Source organism: Homo sapiens, chromosome 1 (assembly GCF_000001405.40).
Source record: "Homo sapiens chromosome 1, GRCh38.p14 Primary Assembly".
In the NCBI taxonomy this organism is placed as follows: Eukaryota; Metazoa; Chordata; class Mammalia; order Primates; family Hominidae; genus Homo; species Homo sapiens.
This window is the reverse complement of record NC_000001.11, coordinates 199257623-199280922: the sequence shown is the minus strand read 5'-3', so window position 1 is coordinate 199280922 and position 23300 is coordinate 199257623. Positions and strand designations below refer to the sequence as shown.

Sequence of the window (23300 nt, the reverse complement as noted above, 5' to 3'; positions counted from 1 at the left end):
GTGAAACCTGATGACTAGAAAATAATGAATTGTAATCTATTCGTGCTGTTACTGGTTCCAGTGTTAGGCAATCACAGTTCTTTGAGAGTCTGGAGCATCAGTTTTTGACACATTATGCCAAAGAGGGGAGTTGATGAACAAATTTTTAGATATGTAAAGGCATCAGCACGGCCTAAATGAAGTAGGGTGTAGTATGTCTAACCATCAGAGTGCTGGCCTGGAACTTAAAATTGTTTTCTAAAAAAAAATTAAAATTTCCCATAATGATAGCTTTCGTATAATGGAAAAATAATAATTTTTTTCTCACTGTCCATAGAGCGATATTTGTTGTGAGTTAACTGTTTTTGATCTACAGTGTGCTAAGGGCCACAGAGTAGCCAATCCCTGCTTCCAGGGACTTACTGTCTGATACCAACTCAGAAACTGTGGGCTGATACCCAGCCAGACACGCTGTGGAAGGTTGGGAGTGAGGGCATCTTTCTCTTTCTGAGTCACAGAAGTTTGTAGTGAAGGACACTCCATGAGTCAAATGGTAGAACTTCTGAGGCAAAGCAAGAAGCTTACCGAAAAGCACAGAATTTCCCCAGAGGCAGCTCTATGTTTTAGTTGGATTTCTAGACAAAATGATAGAAGAGTATGATTACAGATGAGAAAAATACAAGCAAAAAGTATAAAAGAAGAGAAAGTGAGCCAAGAAAGGAAATGCAAATGTTTGTAATTGACAGGCATCCTAATATAAAAATCCTGATGGAGAAATGGCAAGAATCTTTTTTCTTTTCTTTCATGTGTGTGTGTATTCCATGTGATGGATGGTAGGTGTAACTGTGCTGATCTGTACTGCAGGGGGCAATGCTAGCAGTGCTACACAGGAATTGTCCTGTCACCCATTCCATGTGCAATAGGGGACACTTTCATTTCAAACTCAATCAGCAAGTGATGTTTCCTGCCAAAAGGAAAATGTTATTCATCCTAAGATCCCCAGATATCTAACATTTTGAAAGATTACAGAAAATTCAAAGAAAATATGTGTCCTATTATTATTATTATTATCATCATTATTTTAGACGGAGTCTCACTCTCACCCAGGCTGGAGTGCAATGGTGCGATCTGGGCTCATTGCAACCTCCGCCTCCCAGGTTCAAGTGATTCTCCTGCCTCAGCCTCCTGAGTAGCTGGGACTATAGGCGTGCACCACCACCCCTGGCTAATTTTTGTATTTTTAGTAAAGACAGGATTTCACCATGTTGATTGGGTTGGTCTTGAACTCCTGACCTCGTGATCTGCCCACCTTGGCCTCCCAAAGTGCTGGGATTACAGGCATGAGCCACCACGCCAGGCCTGTGTCCCTTAATTATTAAAAACATCTCTTGAATGCTTAATGGGATACTCTACCTGCATCTTGAGAATTCTTGGTAACTGGAATCAGGGCCAAAACAGCCCTTTTAAAACCTCTAAAAATCAGTTTTCTTTTGGAGGACTTGGTTTTAAGAAATTTTTGTTCAAGGAGGGATCTCTACATGGGTCTTTCACTTCAATCTCATTGTTCTTTGTGAGTCAACCATGATGTATTTAGAGAAGAAATCTGACAATAGGAAGATTAAGCCTGTCAGAATAGTTCAAATAAAATGACCAGACTGGGATGTTGCATAATCTGTGGTTTATTTCTACACAGTGTTATTTTCTTCCCTCTTTACTTCCCTTTCCATACCTCACTATCCCTATGCTAACCCCCACCCCAAGATGAAGTGTTTTTCTGCCTTTTCACTCACCTTGCCTGGCTAACCTTCCCATCTCCACCTCATCACTGGCTTTGTGTAATGCAGTAGTTCCTCAAAGCCAATCCTCATACCCATTTCATTAGAACCACTTGGTGAATGTACTAAAAATAAATAAATAAAGCTTCTCTAGCTACACTTAAACTTACTGCATGAGATTCAAAAGGCCAGTACCAACATTTATTAGATTTTATGACTACTTACAACTTTAGGAAATCAATGAGAGTACTGGAGCTGGGGTGGTGGGGGAAGAGGATTTTGTATTTTGTTTGTAGGCCACTAAATCCAGAAAGCAACAGAGTAAACAATTTTCATAAATGTAAAGTATCCCTATAAGGATTGCCTCACTCACATTATTTTTTAAACATGAAAAGCATTTAATAAAAGTGAGTTAGCCCAATAGATTTATCTTGAATTGAGAGAATAGGGACTTGTATAGAATCTAATATCTGTTATTTGCTAAGTATAAAATACCTATTGATCATCTCAGAAATAAAGTCTTAAATGGATATGTCATTCAAGTGGCAAAGTAATAACTTTAAAGTAGAACTATCATAGATTCACTATATATATATTCTATATTTCAGAATAGACTATTGACAATTATCATATAATGAAATTAGAGAAGATGGTTGGCAAGTGAAATTGTATAATTTGGCTATGGTCTTAAGGATATCTTTAGTAATTGAAGTCATCTTCAAATGGAATCTTACATAAGACCATGATATAAAATAATAAAAGTAGAGTGGTTCTGGTTGAAGCAGGAGAGAACAAATCTAGTAAAATCTCTAATTTTACTGAAGGGGTGATTTAGACAAAGAAATTTTTAGTTTACCAAAGGTAATTAACAAGAAAACTACAAATAAAAACACACATTTTTGATTCTCAGTCCAGACATTTTTTTTCAGTATTTGTGATGTATTTAGAGAAGAAATCTGACAATAGTAAAATTCAACCATTTAGAGTCAATGACTATTTGTTTTCTGAGTCTTCCATGATAAGGTACATAAACTAGGTAAACAACAGAAATTTATTTTCTCACAGTTCTTAAGGCTAGAAGTCTGAGATCAAGCTGTTGGCAGTATTGGTTTCCTCGGTCTCTCTCTATGACTAGTAGATTGTCTATGTCTTCACATGGTCTGTGTGTCTGTGTCCTAACCTCCTTATAAGAACAGCAGTCATATTGGATTAGGATCCACCCATATGATCTCATATTTCTCATATTACTGTCCTTACCTCCTTAAAAGGCCCTATTTCCAAATATGGTCGCATTTTGAGGTACTAGAGATTAAGACTTTAACATGTGATTTTGGGGGAGGGGAGGGACACAATTCAACCCTATAACAATAACCAATCAAGAAATTAATCCTGGGTTAGTTTATACCTTGTAAGACAGAGAGGTAATATCCACATCAAATTTGATATTGGCCTTTTAATTTGTTGGTGCAATGATTTCACATGATGGGCCATGACATACTGGTGAGTGACATGACTTGTGAGGGATATGGAAAATAATTAGTTACTACTTAATGCAATATTTACATGACTAGCATATTATGGAAAATTATATTTTATAGATATGTAAGAAAACATGTAATTGGAGTGGGTTTGAAATTTATTGTATAATCCACTCATATGCAGTGAATATTTTTTCTTAAGAAAAGAAGGGTGTTACAATAGTGCTGCCAAGGGGCCACCAACAGCCTGCAGCCTTTCTACAGCATGTAGAGTGTGTTACCAATATTGATGTACCAATAATTGTAGGCATTACAAGTTACTTCTAATGTAAAAGTGCTTGCTTGGTGTATTAGTCCGTGTTCACGCTGCTGATAAAGACATACCCAAGACTGGGCAATTTACAAAAGAAAGGTTTAATGGACTCACAGTTCCACATGGCTGGGGAGGCCTCACAATCATGGTGGAAGGCAAGGAGGAGCAAGTCATGTCTTACATGAATAGCAGCAGGCAAAAAGAGAAGAGAGAGTTTGTGCAGGGAAACTCGCCTCTATAAAACCATCAGATCTTGTGAAACTTACTCACTTTCATGAGAACAGCATGAGAAAGACCAGCCCCCATGATTCAATTACCTCCCACCGGGTCCTTCTCACAACACATGGGAATTTTGGGAGCTACAATTTAAGATGAGACTTGGGTGGGGACACAGCCAAACTATATCACTTGGTTTGTTTGTTTGCTTTTCATTTTCAAAACAGCTTTATTGAGATATCATGGAGGTATAAAAATTGCATTTATTGCATACATTGTGAAATGATGACTAAATTCCAGACAATTAGCGTATTTCACTTCTACATAGTTACCATTTCTGTATGTGAATGTGTGTATATATGTGGTGAGACAATTTAAGATTTATAATGTTAGGAAATTTCAAGTAAAAACATAGTATTTTTATTATTTAATTTATAGCAAATTTAATACTTATTTAACTATGGCTACCATGCTGTACATTAGATCTCTAGAATGTATTCATCCTGCATAACTAAAACTTTGTATCCTTTGACCAATATCCTCCCATTGCCCCTGCCCTCAGCCCCTGGCAACCGCCATTCTACTCTGTGCTTCTGTGAATTTGACTATTTCAGATTCCTCAAATAAGTGAGATCATGTGGTATTTCTCTTTTTGTGTGTTGCTTATTTAACTTAGCATAAAGCTATACAGCTCCATTCATGTTGTTGTAAATGGGTAGGTTCCTTCTTTTTAAAAACTAGACTGGTAGGGTACAGTGGCTCACGCCTATAATCTCAGCACTTTGGGAGGCCAAGGTGGGTGGATCACAAGGTCAGGAGATCAAGACCATCCTGGCTAACACAGTGAAATCCCATCTCCACTAAAAATACAAAAAATTAGCCGGGTGTGGTGGCGCATGCCTATAGTCCCAGCTACTCGGAAGGCTGAGGCAGGAGCATCGCTTGAGCCCAGGAGGTGGAGGGTGCAGTGACCCGAGATCATGCAACTGCACTCCAGCCTGGGCGACAGAGCAAGACTCCCTCTCAAAAAAAAGAAAGCTAGAGAATATTTCATTGTGTATGTATATGTATGTGTGTATATATATATGTATGTGTGTATATATATGTGTGTGTGTATATATATATATATATATACACATACACACACATGAATACATACCACATTATTCATCCATCATAGGACATTTATATTGTTTCTATATCTTGTCTTATGCTACAGTGAACCTGTATTCATATCTTAGTCAATGCTAAATAAACATTAAAGCGCAGATATTTCTTTGCAATCATGTTTTCAATTATTTTTAGATCTACACCCAGAAATGGGATTGCTAGATCATATGGTAGTTCTATTTTTAATCTTTTGAGGAACTACCACACTATTTTCCATAATGGGTGTACTATTTTACATTTCCATCAATATTGTACAAGGGCTTCCTTTTTGCCTCATCCTCACCAACACATGTCCTCTTTTGTCTTTTTGATGCTAGCCATCCTAACAGGTGTAAGGTGATACCTCATTGTGGTTTTGATTTACAGTTCTCTGATGATTAGAGATGTTGAACACCTTCTCATTTGCCTGTTGGCCATCTGGATTTCTTTTGAGAATTGCCTATTTAAATCCTCTGCCCATTTTTTAACTCAGTTATCTGTAGTTTTGGTATGGAGATGTATGAGTTTCTAATCTATTTTGAATATTAACTCCTCATTAGTTAGATGGTATACAAATTTTTCTCCTATTCTTTAAATTGCCTCTTTATTTTGCTGATTATTTCTATTACTGTGCAAAATCTTTTTATCAGAATCCCATCAGCATTATTTCCAGAAGTAGAAAATATCAGAAAGTTCAAATGAAACTATAAAAGATCTTGAATAGCCAAAGCAATCCTGAACAAGAATAAAGATGGATGCATCAAATTTCCTGACTTCAAATTATAAATTACAAAGCTGCAGTAACCAAAACAATATGGCACTGTCATAGAAAACAGTCACGTGAACCAATGGAACAGAATTCAGAACCCAGAAATAAACCCACACATTTACCCTTAACTAATGTTCTGCAAGGGTAGCAAGAACACACAATGGGGAAAAATGTTCTCTTCAACAAATGGTATTGGGAAAATTGGACACCCACATGCAAAAAACAAACAAACAAAAAAACAAAAGCACCAACAACAAAAAAAGGAAAGAAATTGGATCTCTATCACCATGCACAAAAACTAACTCAACGTGGATTAAAGATTTAAACATAAAACTTGAAATGGTAAAATTACTAGAAGAAAACATAGGGGAGATCCTTCTTGACATTTGCCTTGGAAATAATTTTCTGAATATGACATCATAAGCACAGTCAATAAAAACAAAAATAGATAAATCAGATAACATCAGATTTTTTTTTATTTTTAAATTCAGTATGCCCATAGGCATACTATGATGCATATGTGACCCTCATCCATTAGGTCTATAGTAGCAGAGTAAAGGTTAAGAACCAACAAGTGACAGCCCTGTAGCTAAAATGCTAATGTCAGGAGGCTAGTCCTTCTTTGTGCTAGACTGCACCATAAGTGCAGAGAACTGAATATGTTTGCATTATACCCTATGCCCCATTAGATTAAAAAAAATTCCCTGTGCTGTAGTTCTAGACTCCTCTGAGCCAAGTTAAGACTGTTAAATTTTTTTAATGCAATAAAATAAGTCCCAGACACAGAGAAAAGGCAATACAATTTCTCAGGTACTGAACTCAGCTGCCAATTACTTTGGACCTTGAAAGCAGCTGGACGGAGAACACCTGATGGGCTGTAGCAGGTGACAGGTGGCAGAGGGCACTGTAGATGGACCTGGAGGGAGCAGGGATCCAGGCTTTGGCTTTGGCCCAGCAACACCAGGCCAAGTAGGAGGAGACATTCTTAGTGCTGTGGTATCACTATCACCTGTTTCCCAGTGCTTAGAGTCTGGAAAAGGGATAAGCCCTTGCTTCTAAATGCATTTGTAGGTCACAATGTTTGCATTTGCAAATGTGATAAGCTCTCCCTCTAATCTCTATTTCTTGGTTCCCACGTATGTTCCAATTCTTGCTTGAGGCTTCCCTGTGGTGGGGTCTTACAATAGCTCTTACGACTCATATTCTCCTGTTTCAAAATAACTCAGCTCTCCACTCACCATTCCAACTATCTTTTGCAACTCAAATTACCCCAGGGCTAAACATTAAGCTACATATTAAGAGAAAGCTCATTGAAATAATTTTTACCTTGATGTGAGTAACTAATGAGGAGGCTATCTTGACTCTCCAGGGGCACTTGTGTTTCAAAAATGGAAATTTGTTAACTAAAGTAAATTGCCAATTAGTGGACAGTGTTGTGGTAAGAAAAAAAGGTGAAGGAAGTTTCCAGACTGTAAGGGAAATATTTCTGGAAAGAAAAACTTTCTCTCTGTGCATTCTCATTCCTCTTTACTCATACAGGTACTTACAAAATTTTAACTGTAAGTTTCTTGCAATATTATTATCATAAGATGAAAATATATTTCAACATTTTCATGGACTCTGATAATAGTCTCACTGACAATGTACTTTTTATTTTTTTTAAACATTTATTTTGTCTTATTTGTTGGATGTTATCTAAGTTAACTGAAGAACACTTCGTAACTTCCAAATATTTTTCTATCGAAAAAATTTGAGGCCATCTTATAGAGAAACAATATAGAGTAGTACATACAAGACTTCTGGTATTTTACAATTTGTTAATAATGGCTTAAATGTTTTTGCTTTGTTTTGCTATTGGAACTGTAATAACACAGAATAGCAGTTGGCATCAAGTTGGAGGCCTTGCCTTAAATCCAGGCTCTACTGCTTACTACTTATGGATTTGGGGCATGTTATTTTCTCCTATTTGTGCCTCTGTTTCTTCTTACTTACCTTGCAGATTCATTATGAAGATTAAATCAATTAATGCATGTAAAGTGCTTATCATAGAACTTGGCATCTTATAAAGGCTCAATAAGTGCTAGCTATATTATTGTTATCACCTCTATACCTTCTCTGTGCTTCCAAAAGCAGATTTTATTTAATGTTTAAGTCCTAAATGTTGAATATATATTATGTCACCCACAGAGAGGAAGAATAATCTGAGTCATGTAATTACAACTAAAAAAGTATCATGATCTACCCACAGGTACTTTCCTCTGAACAGCACCTAAACATTGTCTCATTTTAAATTTCTTGTCACTATACTAACAGTTTATAAATAAATACACAGTAACCTCAGAGGGAGGCCTGGCATGTCCGGTTTAGGCAGTAGCCAGCTGGGCTGAGGGCTGCTGGCTTTGGGTCAAGAGCAAGCGCCCCCATGCCGGTCATTAGTTGCCAGGAAATGCTTTCCTTATTAGTCATTATTGCCTGAGGATTTTCTAGTGATAGAGTGTTAATACTGTAAGAAATGCTATAATTGCATGACTAGATTAGAAGATATGTACTGTACTTCATTATTCTACTTTGAAGTCTACCACTAAAGTGATCACTTTGCCAAAGAAAAAAATATGGAATATATTTCAAAGAATTTTCAATGTAAATGTAGATTTAGTTGTACAATTAAGAGCAGAAACAAGTAAGCGGGACTAGTAAGTGAGATTAAAATGTTAGAAACATATTCTATCAATAAATGCATTTATTGAGAGCCTACTATGTGCCTCACATCATCCTAAGAAGAAGACATGGCCTGTGATGACACAGACATTTGACATTTACAATCCTGTTAGAGAATCAAAACTAAGAGGTATAAAACAATAGAAGAAATAGCACTGTTCGTGTCACAACTTTGTACTGAGATAAGCAATACTAATTTATAAAAATTGCTTGGCAAACAAAGTCATCTGAACTTAGACAAGGTATTTGAATATGGTTAAGCAATCGGCAATGCTATTTGAGAACTTTTAACCTCGACTTCAAATGTTCCACTTGAGAGCTAGGATTGCAGGCATTTCTTGCTGCCAAAGCCACTTGGTAACCAGATCTCAAAACAATAAAAGGCTAAAAAGAACCTATTAGTGCTATGAAACTTTTCTGCTAAGAAAACTTAGAACAGCACAGAAATTACCACACAGATACTCTTTGTGCAAAACTTTTTACTAGGAGTCACCAGAAATAAAGGTGCCCGACAAACATTAGATGAGTGAAGAAGGGAGAAAGAAGGGGTGTGGGGTGGCTAATGTCTACTGGCCACCTGGGCCTGCCCTCTACCAGGTTCCAGACAGCAAGGTAACCACGTAAACTTAGGAGGGACGGAGCCCATCCTACAAGGCTATTCTGGTACCATCTTGATGCTTTAGACCTTATTTTCAGAAATCCATGAGCATCTCTAAAATGGGTCTGACCTTGGGCTTTTAAAACAAATGTTTAAAAATTAAGCTAACTTATATAATACCATTAACGACTGATAGACTGAAACCCAATTTCTTGGTTTCTAATGGCAATTTTTTTTTTTGTATGGTGCATTTGAGGATCATCTTTGGATCCCAAACATATTTGGTTCTCTATTACCAGTAGCTGTGCTTTAGCAGAATATCTGTTTTTGTATAGATACATTTTATGAAGAATGTTCAAAACTAAACTCTTTAGCCAATAAAGATGTTTCTCTCTTTTATGGAGGATATGTACAGTGTCTTAATAACTTGAAGGGTGGGACTCACAGCATGTACTGAATGTGATGGCTTTTAGCAAACTTAAAATTCAATGTAGTCATCTCATTTACCTGTGGTAATGGGGCACAGGAACAACATAGATAGCTGAACTTCAGAAAATACAGTTTTTTTTTTTTTGTTTTTTTTTGTAGTTTCAACTACTTCTGCAGAGATTTCAAGGAAAAAAGGAGACTCAGATTTCCATTCCTCTCCTTATTCTTCATGATCCAAAGTCCTTGTATCCCAACAACATAGTACAAACAATAACAGTAAGAGGATGAAGGAGAAATGCCGTGTGGCAGACAGGCCGCAGAGGGCCCCCGTGCCCAAACCCTGTATAAATCTTCTTCCCTTGAGTGCAGCAGATATGTGTGACTTGCTTCTAATCAGTGGAATCTAGAAAAGGTGAGGGGTTATTTCTGTGATTACATTATGTTGAGGATTCTCCCTTCTCAGTCCGAAGTAAGAGATTCTCCTTGCTAGGTTGATGAAGTAAACAGCCATGTAAGCCATTCCTTACTTCCAAGTAAGGAAACTCACATAGCCAGAAACTGAGGTTCTGGAGCTGAGGGCAGCTCCTAGAGCCTGAGGCAGCCTTGCAGCTGATGGTCAAAAGCCAGTCCCTCAATCATATGGCATCAAGGAAACGGATTGTGCCAATATCCTGAGTGAGCTTTGAATTGGACTGTTTTCCAGTAGAGTCTCTCGATGAGAATATAGCCCTACTAGCACCTCAATTGCAGCCTATGAGGCTCAGCAGGGAACCCAACTAAGCCCTTCCTAGATTCCTGATCCATGGACACTGTGAGCTAACAAATATGTATGTCTCTTAAGCTGCTAATTTTGTTGTAATTTGTTATACAGCAGTAGAACACAAATGTAGATTTGGGTTTCTGAGTGTTGTTAGAAGGTTCACAGCTGACACTCCTATAACAAATGACAGGTTAGCAAGAGACAAAGCATGACAAATTCATTTAATCAAAGTTTTACATGACATAGGAAGATTCAGAAATGAAGACTCAAAGGCCCAGGGAAAACTGTGCGATTTTAGGTTTAGGTTCAATGAAGAAGGGACAGCCATGTAAATATGTGATTGGAATAAAAGGACGTGATCTAATAATAATTATCTGAGGGGGACTTAGCAAGGTCTGTTTGTTCAGATTCTTCTTGGCCTCTAGCATACCTCACCCAGGTATGCAACAGGACCCTTCTGGAATGAGGGTCTTAGGGCCTACTTTGAAGGGAGGTAGGTCAGAGAATGACCTCTCTAGGTTTTACGGTTTGTGCTGGGGGTGAGGAGTTCTAGTTTCTAGGACTTGCCCTGGGGAAGAGGAATTCTAATTTCTGTGACTCTAGTTTGTGGGAGAAATGAGGGAAGAAGAAAGGAGGGTAGGAGAAATGATGGAAGAAAAGAGGATGGGAGAAGATCAGAGAAAACTTCTTGCTTCTGAAGTCCTTCCAATCTCCTTCAGTTCAAAGTACTCAGCATGTCAAAGTGCCCTACTTTGCAGTATTGTGTTTTAAGCCCCAACAAAGCAAAGTACTGCTATAACAAATACCTGTCATGTAACAGCAGCTTTGGAACTGGTCAGTGGGCACAACCTGGAAAAATTTTGAACAGCATGATAGAAAAATCTAATTTGCCTTGAGCATACTGTTCATGGAAGTCTGGACTTCAAGTATATTGATAGTGTGGGCTCAGAAGAACATGAGGAATATTTCATTGGAAACTGGAGGAATGGGATCCTTGCTATTATATAGTGTTAGAAAGCTTGTCTCCTGTAGTTTCATGGAAGGCAGAACTTGTAAGTGACAAAGTTGAATATATAGCTAAGGATATTTCCATGCAATGGTCAGTTGGATTGCCATTGGGCTGCTTGGTTTCTTCTTACCGCTTATAATAAAATGCAAGAAGAGAAAGATAAATTGAGGAAAGAACTGTTAAGTACAAAGAAACCAGGATTTGATAACTTGAAACTTCCCAGCCTTTACAGAGGGTAAAAGATTCTAACATGAGGAGATGTTTTCCTGGCAGGAAAGCATGCTTTAGAGAAAGAGCCAAGAATGCGACTGTATAGACTTTTGGTGAAACCTCGGAAAGATAAAGAAGTCAGAGTATTTAGTCACAAGAATTAAGGATATGCTTCTCAGATCCTCTCAATCAAACCAAAGGGTCTTTAGGAAATTGAATGGAGATGTTCCTTAGACAGCTCAGAAGGAGGCTGATGTATGGAAGGATTTGTTTTTTATTTTATTATTTATTTCTTTATTTGAGATGAAGTCTCGTTCTATTTCCCAGGCTGGAGTGCAGTGGTGTGATCTTGGCTTACTGCAACCTCCGTCTCCCAGGTTCCAGCAATTCTCTTGCCTCAGCCTCCTGAGTAGCTGGGGTTACAGGCACAGACCACCATGCCCAGCTAATTTTTTCTTTCTTGTACTTTTAGTAGAGACAAGGTTTCACCATGTTGGCCAGGCTGGTCTCAAACTCCTGACCTCAAGCGATCTACCCACCGTGGCCTCCCAAAGTGCTGGGATTACAGGTGTGAGCCACCATGCCTGGCAAGGAGAATTTGTCTTAAAAAGAAGTGTGGATGGAGCTTTTTTCTGAGAGTGAACCCCATTAAAAGCCATAGGAAACACACAAAGTTATTGAGAAAATTATTTCAGCTGAAACATTGCTAAGCTTGGACTGAGAAAGATAGAGATAGAGATACAGATAGAGAGAGATAGAGATAGAGATAGAGGAAGAGAGAAAGAGGGAGAGAGATGGAAAGAGAGAGAGAGAGAGAATAAAGTGAAAGGAAGAAAGGAGGCTACTGGACCCCTACATTTCTACTGGCAGATTCCAGCTGATTACTATTCAGCTGTAAACATGTATCTTTTATGAAAAAGGAAGGACAGCAAAAAAGATAGAATCAAGAACCCAGATGTAGAGCCAGAAGCCATGGAGGATTATTCCAGGCCTTGAAACCTAATCAAGGTACCCTGGCTGGAGTGTAACCAGCTGGGTTTCTGAACTGCTATCCAACAGTGATTGTTTTTCCACTTCTATTTTTTGCCCTTTTTGAACTGGAGTGTCTGAAGCTGTTACCCTATGCCTGCTCCACCACTGTATGTTGGATATGTTGAGGCAAATAACTTGTCTCTCTGGTTTTACAGACCCAGAGATGGTGAGGAATTGTGCCTAGAAGCTGTTCTGAAGGAATTATAACCAGGGACCTTATCCACACGTGCACTCGATTTAGAGAATGAAATTTTGTAATTTTAGTGGATATATAATGGGATGAGATTCTTGGACCTTGGGAGTAGGGAATGTATTTTGCATGTGGGAGACGTATAAATTACTGAGACCAGAAAATGGGCTATGGCAGACTACTCTTAGGGTGGTCCCCATGTTTACAGCCCATAATCCCCTACTCCAAAGTGAATGGAACCTGTGACTTTCTTCCAAGAAAATATGGCAAAAGTGATGGAATGTCACTCCTGTCTTTAGTGTAGTATGTCTTCAGGCAAAGATGCTGGGCTATCATTCCTGTGATTATATTATGTTATCTGAGATTCTGCTTTGGCAAGCTGGAATGAGAGACTCTCATTGCTAGCTTGATAAAATAAGCAGCCATGTTGAGAAATTAAAAGGCTGCCCAAAAGGAACTGCAGGTGGTCTCCAGCTGATAGACTGCTCAAAGCTGTAAATGAGTTCTGCCAACAACCTGAATGATCTTGGAAACAGATCTTCCTTTAATAAAGATTCTAGATGAGAATGCATGATGGCAAGCTACCACAAACATCACAGCTTTAAACAGCACGGACCTATTATTTCATAGTTTCTATAGGTCAGAGGTCTGACCCACCATGGCTAAATTCTCTACTACTCAAGTATTATGAGACCAAAATTCAGGTGTGCACAGGGTTGGTTTCTTAACTGGAGGCTCTAGGGAAGAATCTGCTTCCAGCCTCATTCAGCTGTTGGCTGAGTGCAATTCCCTGCAGTTGTAGTACTGAGGTCTATGTTTGCTGGCTGGTTGTAAACTGAGGTCTACTCTCAGCTCTTAAAGACTGTCCATATTCCAGGTCATGTGGTCCCTTCCATCTTCAAGTCAGCAATGCTGCATCGAATTCCTCCTATTCTTGGAGTCTGCCATCTGTGGGAGAAATCTCTCTGTTTTTAAGGATTCATGTGATTGTATCAGGCCCACCTGGATAATCTCTGTATTTTAAGGTCAACTGTGCCATATATTATGGCCTCATTATGGAAGAGATAGCTCATCATATTCATGGCTTCCTGGAATTAGAGTGGGACATCTTTGGGTGGGGGAATTTTAGGAATTCTACCTACCACAGCATCATCAGGAAACAGGAAAAATAAATAGTTATTTTCTTTACAGAAAACAACGGGGTGAGGTGCTTTGACAATGTTCGTATTTCACATATAAGCCATGCCTGTCTTATGTGTTATTTTCAACTTGGCACTTTTATTAAGAAAACAGTATAATTCAGAAATATTTTCTTTTTTGAATTCAAAATGATTACAGTTTGCATCATTTATTTGTACAGCAAAATTTCTAGTTCATTAGGTTCATCAGTAATAGACATATTGCTCTTACTATCATTTCTTTTTCTCTAACCTACTCAGATTAAAAGATAACACGAAGGAGATTCAATTAGATGAGAGAGTTGTGTAAAATAATTGCTTTCTCTTTCAACATTTTAAGATAGAACATTCTAGATTGCAAAGTGTCTGTGTTTTCATTTCACTGCTCCTCCTTTCATGGTACGTTCAGTTCTACTGAGTCTGTCTGCTTTGCAATTACCCCTAATGATTGGGACCTCCTATAGGATTTTGTGCCCAAAGGGAGGGATGCTCATTCCTTGGCACAAAGGTGCCATTCGCTGGCTAAACTGTGTTCCAGGAATTGAACCTACCCACAGTAGACTTTTTTTCTTTTTTCACTTTTTTCACAGTGGATCCATACACAGAAGGGTCCCTATGAATAATAGTTGCAAGAGCTAATAATTAAGGGTACTTACTCTCTTTCAGGCACTGAAGTAAGTTCACTACTTAACAAGCACAACCTTATAAGTTAGGTAATGTCTTTATCTACATTCTACAGTTGATGGAAATAAGGCTTCGGGAGGGTAATTTGGCCAAAGCCACACAACTTGTTCTTGGCAGAGATGGAGCTTGAGCTTGCTGCATTTGATTCCAAAAATATGTGCTCTTATATACTCTGTTCTACTCTCTCTCTGTTCATTTGCCCATGATGGACATTCTTAAAATAAAATCTATACCTATGTCTATACCTATATATAGATATGTATGTATGTATGTATGTATGTATATATGTAAGTATGTATACTAAGGCTTAGAAAGGTCTTACAATCAATAGGTGAAGAGACCAAAGTCCAGAGATTTAAAATCAAATTTGATCACATTTGCATCACAATTTAGTAGAAAAGCCACAAAGAAAACCCAGATTTCTTTATGCTAACCTGAGCAAGATCAAAGGAGGAGAATGAGGGAGAAGGAAAAAGATGAAGAAAATTACTAGTACCAGGAAACCCTAAAAGATTATATAGTTAACTGCATTGTTTAATATAATAATAAAATGTATGTAAACCAAAGTCAGAAATGTAAAATATACACAAATTTCTAATTAGCATTTAGAACAGCTATCTGATGGAATTACCTTCTGAACTACTTAGGTTTTTAACTGATACCGAAGACAACTTATTTATCAAATGTCCTTGGCTAAACAGTTGTTTCCCAAATAACAACACTGGCTTGGATAATAGAAAATGGTATAAACTTAAATTCTAGGATCCCAAATATAATTTTCTAAAAGCAAAACTTTCTGTCTGCAACTCAGAATTGTTGGAAAGACACCTCTCCCTGCTTGTGTACCCGTGGGGCCTCTTAACACTGCAGAGATCTGGATGGTCACTGTACATATGAGGCATTTAAATGAATCACCAGATAGTAGAAAAAGGTGGAATGCTTTACCCAAGCTTTACACCGAAATATTTCTTGACATTAAGTTCTGAAATCACTAGCTCTGAGGTCACCAAGGCCATTCATGATTTGAGACCAGGAAAAAATGCGTTTAATAATTTAATAAATAAGACCTATATATACTATACTATATATCCTGTATGCTACTATACATAGTATCTTCAGAATCACATATGTTTTTAAGTAAAGTGAAAGAAAAATCCCTGACATATTTAAAATATTTTGACATTTTTTAATTTTTTTAATTGAATAGATAATATCTTGTGACTCATTTAGTTATATCAGAGCAGTCAATTACAATTTATCACTTGTGGCTAATTGTTGGCCTAGACATGGAAACTCTGGTTAGAACACATTCCAGTACATATGTGATAGAAATGACATTCCAAGAGATTAAGTAAATGGTCCACCATTTTTCAGCCAGTAAGTGGTAGAACCAGGATTGGAATTCAAAACGTCTGAGAATAAAGATTAAGTCAATGCAATTCTTGATATACCACACTGCTTTCTTCTCTCATGGAGATGCTTCCTGTATGTATTCTTCTCACTGTGTTCTCCTTCCTTTAATCTTTCTCTCTTCTGTAGAGAATCAGTAAGTTTCAATAATTTTATATTCACAACAAAGAGGAAATACAGGAGGGAAAGCAAGTAGGGGTGAGGAAAAATGGTAAGTTCAGTTATTATGTGAGTTTGAGGTTTTTATAGGACACTGTTCACAGAGATACCTGAAAATACAGCTCTGAATTCCTTGCTGAGATCTATAAAACCTTACCTGATCTAGTCTTTCTCTGACCTCAGTTTATACCAGTTACCCCATATACTAGTTAAGGTATTGCTATCTGCTATAACAAACAATATTTTAGTGCTTAACACACAAAAAGGCTAATTTCTTGCTCATTTAGCAATCTAAGGTAGGACAACAGGATTCTGTTCCAACCAGTCATTCAGAAACCCAGCCTGACTAAGCTCTTCCACCCTCAATAAGAAGCTTCCAGGTTTGACCTGGGGATACTCAGCTGACAAATTGAAGCTAGTCGCATGGCCCCATCAAGATGCAAGAGGGGAGGGAGGTGACTGACTGGTTGGACAGTGGCTTTCTAGCTATAATTCCACACTATGAAGGGGAAGCACAGATCTTTGATGGGCAGCTGTTGTCTCTACCACACGCATTGCTCATTTGGCTCCAGCCATAGGAGGCCTCGTTTTTGTTCCTTGAACACACTGGGCATTTTGCTACCTCAAGGCCTGCATGCTTGCTGTTCTCTTCCCTTGGCCTGATCCCTTTCTCTCCCTGTATGGAAGCCTCCTGCTCTTTCTTCTGGTCTTAGCCCAGATATTATATTCTCAGAGAGTCTTTTCTTGACCACTCAGTATAAAAAGTCCCAATTCCCTGTGATCCATCGTATCATCCTCATCCTCTGTAATTATGTAATCGAACATTTTCTTAATATATTTTCACATTGTTTATTTTCTTTCTGCCATTACTGTAATGCAGATTTCTGAACAAAAAGGAACTGGTCTCACTTATTACTCTCTGTATCCACGTTGCTTAAAATAAAAGGCACTCAATAAATATTTACTGAATAATAACTCAACATGCATTTTTCCTGCCCTAACACCTTTGGTGGTACCCCCATCACTAATGAAATAAAATTTGCACTTCTGAGGGGATCATACAATGTTCATTCTGCAGTGTATCTATTTGGTATCTGCTTCTTAACATAAATTCCTACCATCTACCTCTTGCACTGAGCTTCCTATGCTCCAAAACCATGGAATTATTTGCTATTGCTTTACACTACATTATTCAAAGTCTGCCTTTGCACACACTGTCTTCTATCCAAAATGCATTACATCCTTTCTCCTAAGTCTGCACCTGCCCATTTCCTTTTTTTCTTCTTCTTCTTTTTTTTTTTTTTTTTTTTTTTTTTTGAGACAGAGTCTTGCTCTTCTCCCCATGCTGGAGTGCAGTGGCGCTATAATAGCTTACTGCAGCCCTGAACTCCTGGGCTCAAGCTATCCTCCCACCTCCACCTCCCAAAGTGTTGCAATTACAGGCAGGAGCCACGGTGCCCAGCCCATTTTCTAGTTATTCCTCCAAACCCTTCTCAAACTTCTTTCAGAAGTCCTTATTCTCCTCAGGATGACTTAATTGTATCTCCTCTGTGTGTAGCCTTTGATTTAGTCCACAATAGAGCTAGCAGACACTTCGTAACACACTCTCTATGTGCCCAGATTGTTCTTGGCATTTTGCTTTTGTTTACATTTACTTTTGTACATTTGTTTATCTCTCTGCATAATCCTGTGAGGTAGGTAGTATTATAATCTCTTCTTTAATAAATGTGGGAACTAAAGTACGGAGAAGATAAATAAGCCCAAGATTACACAAAGTAGCAAAGGTGCTGAGATCCAAGCCCAGGCAGTCTGGTTTGAGCTCATGCTTTCAGCCACTACAGTGTCCTGCCACTCATTTTTCTATGAACATACTTTTATTAGTCTACATCTGTGATAAAACTTAAGCTCTGGTTTTGTAATATACAAGAAAAGTTACAATCTAATGTGTTAGGCACAAATATTTCCTTGAAACGGCTGAGCTTGTGATTAATTCATGCCAATGATGAACTCATTTCAGGTCCCTCCAGCCCAGCACAGTGGCTGACAAGATGGGAGATTAGTAAATATTGGATGATAATTTGAGTTGATACATTTCAGTGCTTACTATATACCTTGAAGTGTGTTAATCGTTTTATATTATCTCATTTAATCATCATAAAACCCATAACAGTAGATACTATTATTATCCTCAGTTTTCATATGGTGACTCAACTCAGGTCATACAAGTAGTAAATTGTCAGTTCATAGAGGCTAATCCCAGCCAGTGAAGTCCTGCCTCCTCAACCAATACACAGAGCCAGGTGAGTGGCTGCTTTAATTCTGGGGGGAAGCCAGGCAGCAGACAGTGGGATTGCCAGTGGTGGGCCACATACTGGCACTCAGGACTCTGACTGCATGGGCAGGCCAGAGAGAGAGAGTCTTGATGTACACTAGATTGAGTAAACACACATATTTTATTTTTTGATCCGATTATCACAATCTGATACTTAACAAGTGGTCTCCAGTAGTGATTTGAAAAGAGAAACTCAGATTTGGGGAAAATGCCTCCTGTACTAAACACAATCTACAGTCCACAGGATTTCTTCTCCCTGAAACCATCCATAAAGACATAGCAATAAAATATTTGTAATAGACATATTTATTTATACTGCTTTATGTAATTTTGAATGAAACCTGCAGATAAGTTTACATTCCATGGAGTAGAGAGGACTTTAAACACAAAAACTATAACCAATGGAATTTTTTTCTAGAAACTTTCTAGAATACTTCTATTTAAAGAGAATTTCTTCAGTATTAGTTTAGTAATCTGGATAATATTAATCTTTTCATATTATTATATTGTTTAATGCAATCCATTGCTTTTCCAAACTGTTTTAAATGGGACAAGGCCTTTTAAACATTCATAGCTAAATTCATTGGCTCATATAATCTCAAGCATGCTGTGTGCAATAGACTGTCACCAATATAATTTCAATTTTCATATTACTGAGTATTTTTTGTTTTTTTCATAGAGATTTCTATAATTATGTCATCAAAGAGTCCTGTTTCAGGAAAATTTTCCATATTTATTGAAATAGTGATATTATTGGATCTCAGTATGTGAGACAGAAAAATCTGGTCTCTGAAGGAAAAATATAGGACTTCAAAGCAGGATTAACTGAAATCATTGGATGGGCCTAGACAGCTTTTTTTAAGAAAATGAACTCCAGGCAAATGAAATCTCAATGTTATCAGGCCTAGCATCTTCAGGGAGACATGGACTTGCAGTGCTGTGTTAATTTCTTAGGGCTGCTGAAACAAAATACCACTAACTGGGTAGTTTACGCAATAGAAATGTATTGTCTCACAGTTCTGAAGGTTGGAAGGCTGAGATCGAGGTGTTGGCAGGGCTGATTCCTTCTGAGGGCTGAGTCTGGTCCCCCACCATCCCCAGAGACTGAATTTGTCTCATGCCTATTCTCCTAGCTTCTGGGGTTTACCGGCGATCTTTGGTATTTTTTGCCTTGTAAATACATCATCTTGATCTCTGCCTTCATGTTCACCTGCCTGTTCTCTCTGAATGCATGTCTGCTGCTGTGTCCAAATTTCTGTTTTTTAGAAGGACATCAATCACATTAGATTAGGCTCCACACTAATAACCTCATCTTAACTTGATCATCTGTAAAGATCATAATTCCAAGTAGGTCACATGGACAGGTGCTGGGAGTTAAGACTTTGATAACGTTTTGGAGTGGCACAATTCTACCCATAACAAGTGCACAGAAGTATGGCACCTTTCCACTGCAGAGACTGCTTAAAACATAAAACATATGAGTAAGATTGAGGTAGGAAGCCTGTGCTCCTCCTACCCCCGATCTCTCAGGTTCAGCAAGGTGAGGATTATGGCCTTAGGCTGTCCAAGGACACACAGAATGAGTTAGGACAGCCTCCTGAGGAATGGTATGGCCCATTTTCTTTAATGATAAGAGTAAAATACTCTGTAATAATGAGGCTCCCCTCATGAGGTGACAGATTTTCAAGTGACAGCTGTGATACCTCCCTATTTCCTAAGGATTAGCTTAATGCTTTTACAACAGTCCAAATAAATTATTTGTTTGTATGTGAAGCCCAGTTTCTACAGTCTCCTCTACATTACCCTTGGTTTAGAGGACTGGTCTAGGCACACATTTGAATCTGGAGTATTTCATCCTGACCTTCCTAGGCTAAGGCTGAGAAGACAGTTGAACTCTCAGTACTGGGTTTGTGTCAACCCTAACCCATAGGAAAAAAAAAAAAAAAAAAAGCATTGCCTGGTGAATTTGGTGACCAGAGAAAATTTTGTTCACCATTGGCCTGATCAGCAAAATAATTAACTTCCAGAATAATGTAGATTTGCAGATTTGAGGGACATTCATAAGAAAGAGTGAGGTGTTTGTGCCAACAATATCCAGGGGAGAGAATGTCAGAGGTTTAATCTATTCTATCCATGGTAAAATACAACGTGGAAATGGGTGTTTTAAATTATCTCCATTGAAAATTATGAAATGTCTGAACCAGGTAACTGATTCCCATTGCCCTACCTTGGTGAGTACCAAGCAACTTTCAACTCATACTCAGCTTATTACCATGCTTGTCCTGATGCACAGAGCAGCCACAGGTTAGACAGCACACAGGAATATACACAGGGTAGACTTCGGGCCTCCCTATCTTTCACTGGATGTTGCAACAACATTCTGATTTAGGACCCCAATATTCTGTAAAGTTGTGGTTATTACTGTAGTCATTAGTTTTTTCTGTTTGTTGGTTTATTTGTTTGTTTTTAACTGACTTAACATATATTATCTCACAGTTTCTGTGGGTCAGGAAACTGGGTATGGCTTAACTCTGTCCTCCGATTCAAGGTCTTTTCGAGGTATTAGTTTCATTCATCAAATATGCCTTACTCTGCTCCTTCCAGGCACAAGGTAGAATTACATTTTCCTACCCCTTTTGTGAGGATTTGCTTTGGAAAGGACCATGTGAGTAGACATGATTTATGTCATTTCTAGACAGAAACTTTAAGTCAGGACACTTTTGTCATCTCCCTTTTTTCCTGCTTCAGCAATGGTGAAATCAAAGAGATTGAGGCTTCCTTAGCTTCACTTTCTAAAAGAGAACAACAATGAACTTGTAGAGTGGTAATGAGAAATAAAGCCGTTGCTGTTTAAATCACTGAAAACCTGAGGGCTGTTTTTACTGAGGCAGCCTATCTTGACTGTTACCAAAAGGATGTATTATTTTTGGACAGCCAAGGACATGTTTCCCATGAGCTGAAGACTAAGTCCTATCAACCCTGCATGGCATATTCAACAGTTGATGACACTATTTTCTGCCTTGTCTCTGATCCTTGTTTTTGGTTCACAAGTTGTTATTTTGAATGGCAGGTAGTATAGTAGAGCACAGTGGTTAAGAGCAAAACTTTGAAGCTAAAATGTATCAGGTCTTTGTTGTCGACTTGAATGCTAAATGATGCTGTTGAGTGAAGAAGGGATTGTGTTATACATGGAGCTTTCCAATAAAATTATTTCTTCTCTTTATGTTCAGGATACATTTACCTCTTGAGATGACAATTAAACATTCATAAATTACTTTGCAAATTAGAGAGATGTATTTGAACCTAAAACCTTCTACTTCCTATTGCTCCTTCTAAACAAAATTTCCAAATTCCACCTCCACTAAGGTAACAGGAAAGGTTTTATGAGGGCTGCCAAACACAGGAATGATGAACCTTCCATTTTCTAATAAGTTGAGTTTGTTAAATTTGTTTCAATCACATTGTGTCCTCTATGATGCCTTGGATTTAAACTTGAATTTTCCCCCACAAGCAGCACTTGGGCTGAGCATTGGTATATATATATATATTTTTTTTTTGAAATTAAGAAAATGGCAAGTGGATTCATGTGTTATTTTACTTTATATTTTGCATATTTTATTAAGTATTATTGTCCAGAATTTAGTAATATGTGTTAAGTACTTTATAATCATTTAATTTTGAATTATAGAAGCAATAGTGAATATGAAGAGAATTAGATAGATATAAAGTATACTTAGGGGATAAAATCAACAGAGTTTCGTAATAGATTGAACATGGGAAGGTATAGGGAGAGAGAGTTGTCAAGGATGGCTTCTTAGTTCTGGCTTCAGCAACTGAGTTAGTGAAAGTATCTTTCACTAAGACAATAGAAGAGGAAGAGGCTAAGTTTGATTTTATACATATTGAATTTGAGCTGTCATTCAAACTAGGCAGTTTTGTATATACATCTGAAACCCAGTGACTCCGTGGGACAAAAGAATCTGAACAGCAGCCCTTGAGTCCCAGATTTTTCCTCTGATATAGTCTACCCAAATAAGAAGGAACTAGATAAACAATTCTGGTAATATGACAAAACAAGTTTCTTTAACACCCCTAAAAGATCATATCAGCTCACCAGCAATGATCCAAACCAAGATGAAACCTCTGAATTGCGAGAAAAATAATTCAGGAGGTTGATTATTAAGTTAGTCAAGGAGGCACCAGAGAAAGGCAAAGTCCAACTTAAAGAAATAAAAAAACATGATACAGCCTATAACAGGAAAATTCTTGAGTGAAATAGATAGCATAAATAAAAAACAAAAACAATCACAACTTCTGGAAATCAAGGACAAACTTAGAGAAATGCAAAATGCACTGGAAAGTCAGAGCAATAGAACTGAACAAGCAAAAGAAAGAACTTCAGAGCTGGAAGACAAGGTTTTAGAAGTAACCCAATCCAACAAAGACAAAGAAATAAAGAGTTTTAAGAAATGAACAAAGCCTCCAGAAGTTTGGGATTATGTTAAATGACCAAACCTAAGAATAATTGGCATTCCTGAGGGAGAAAAGAAATCTAAAAGTTTGGAAAATATAATTGGGGGAATAATTGAGGAAAACTTTTGTGGCCTTGCTAGGAATCCAGACATCCAAATACAAGAAACTCAGAGAACACCTGGGAAATTCATCATAAAAAGATCATCGCCTAGGCACATAGTCATCAGTTTATCTCAAGTCAAGATGAAAGAAAGAATCTCAAGAGCTGTGAGGCAAAAGCACCGGGTAATCTGTAAAGGAAAACCTATCAGATTCACAGCAGATTTCTCAGCAGAAACCCTACAAGCTAGAAGGGATTGGGGCCCTATCTTAAGTCTCCTTAAACAAAACAATTATCAGCCAAGAATTTTGTATCCGGCAAAACTAAGCTTCTAAATGA

At 37.8% G+C, this 23300-nt stretch overlaps 1 long non-coding RNA gene across 1 annotated transcript in view, besides 1 other annotated feature; it reads right to left on the bottom strand.

Moving 5' to 3' along the window:
- Window positions 1-23300, bottom strand: part of LINC02789 (long intergenic non-protein coding RNA 2789) — a 244710-nt gene that overhangs the window by 112385 nt on the left and 109025 nt on the right. The window lies entirely within an intron of this gene.
- Window positions 7449-8648: an enhancer, noted in NCBI's record as "P300/CBP strongly-dependent group 1 enhancer chr1:199241403-199242602 (GRCh37/hg19 assembly coordinates)". NCBI's record gives its function as "activates an origin of replication core promoter dependent on BRD2, BRD4, P300/CBP, MED14 and CDK7 cofactors, with strong dependence on P300/CBP, by STARR-seq in HCT116 cells {active_cell/tissue: HCT116}" and the evidence as "EXISTENCE:reporter gene assay evidence [ECO:0000049][PMID:35650434]".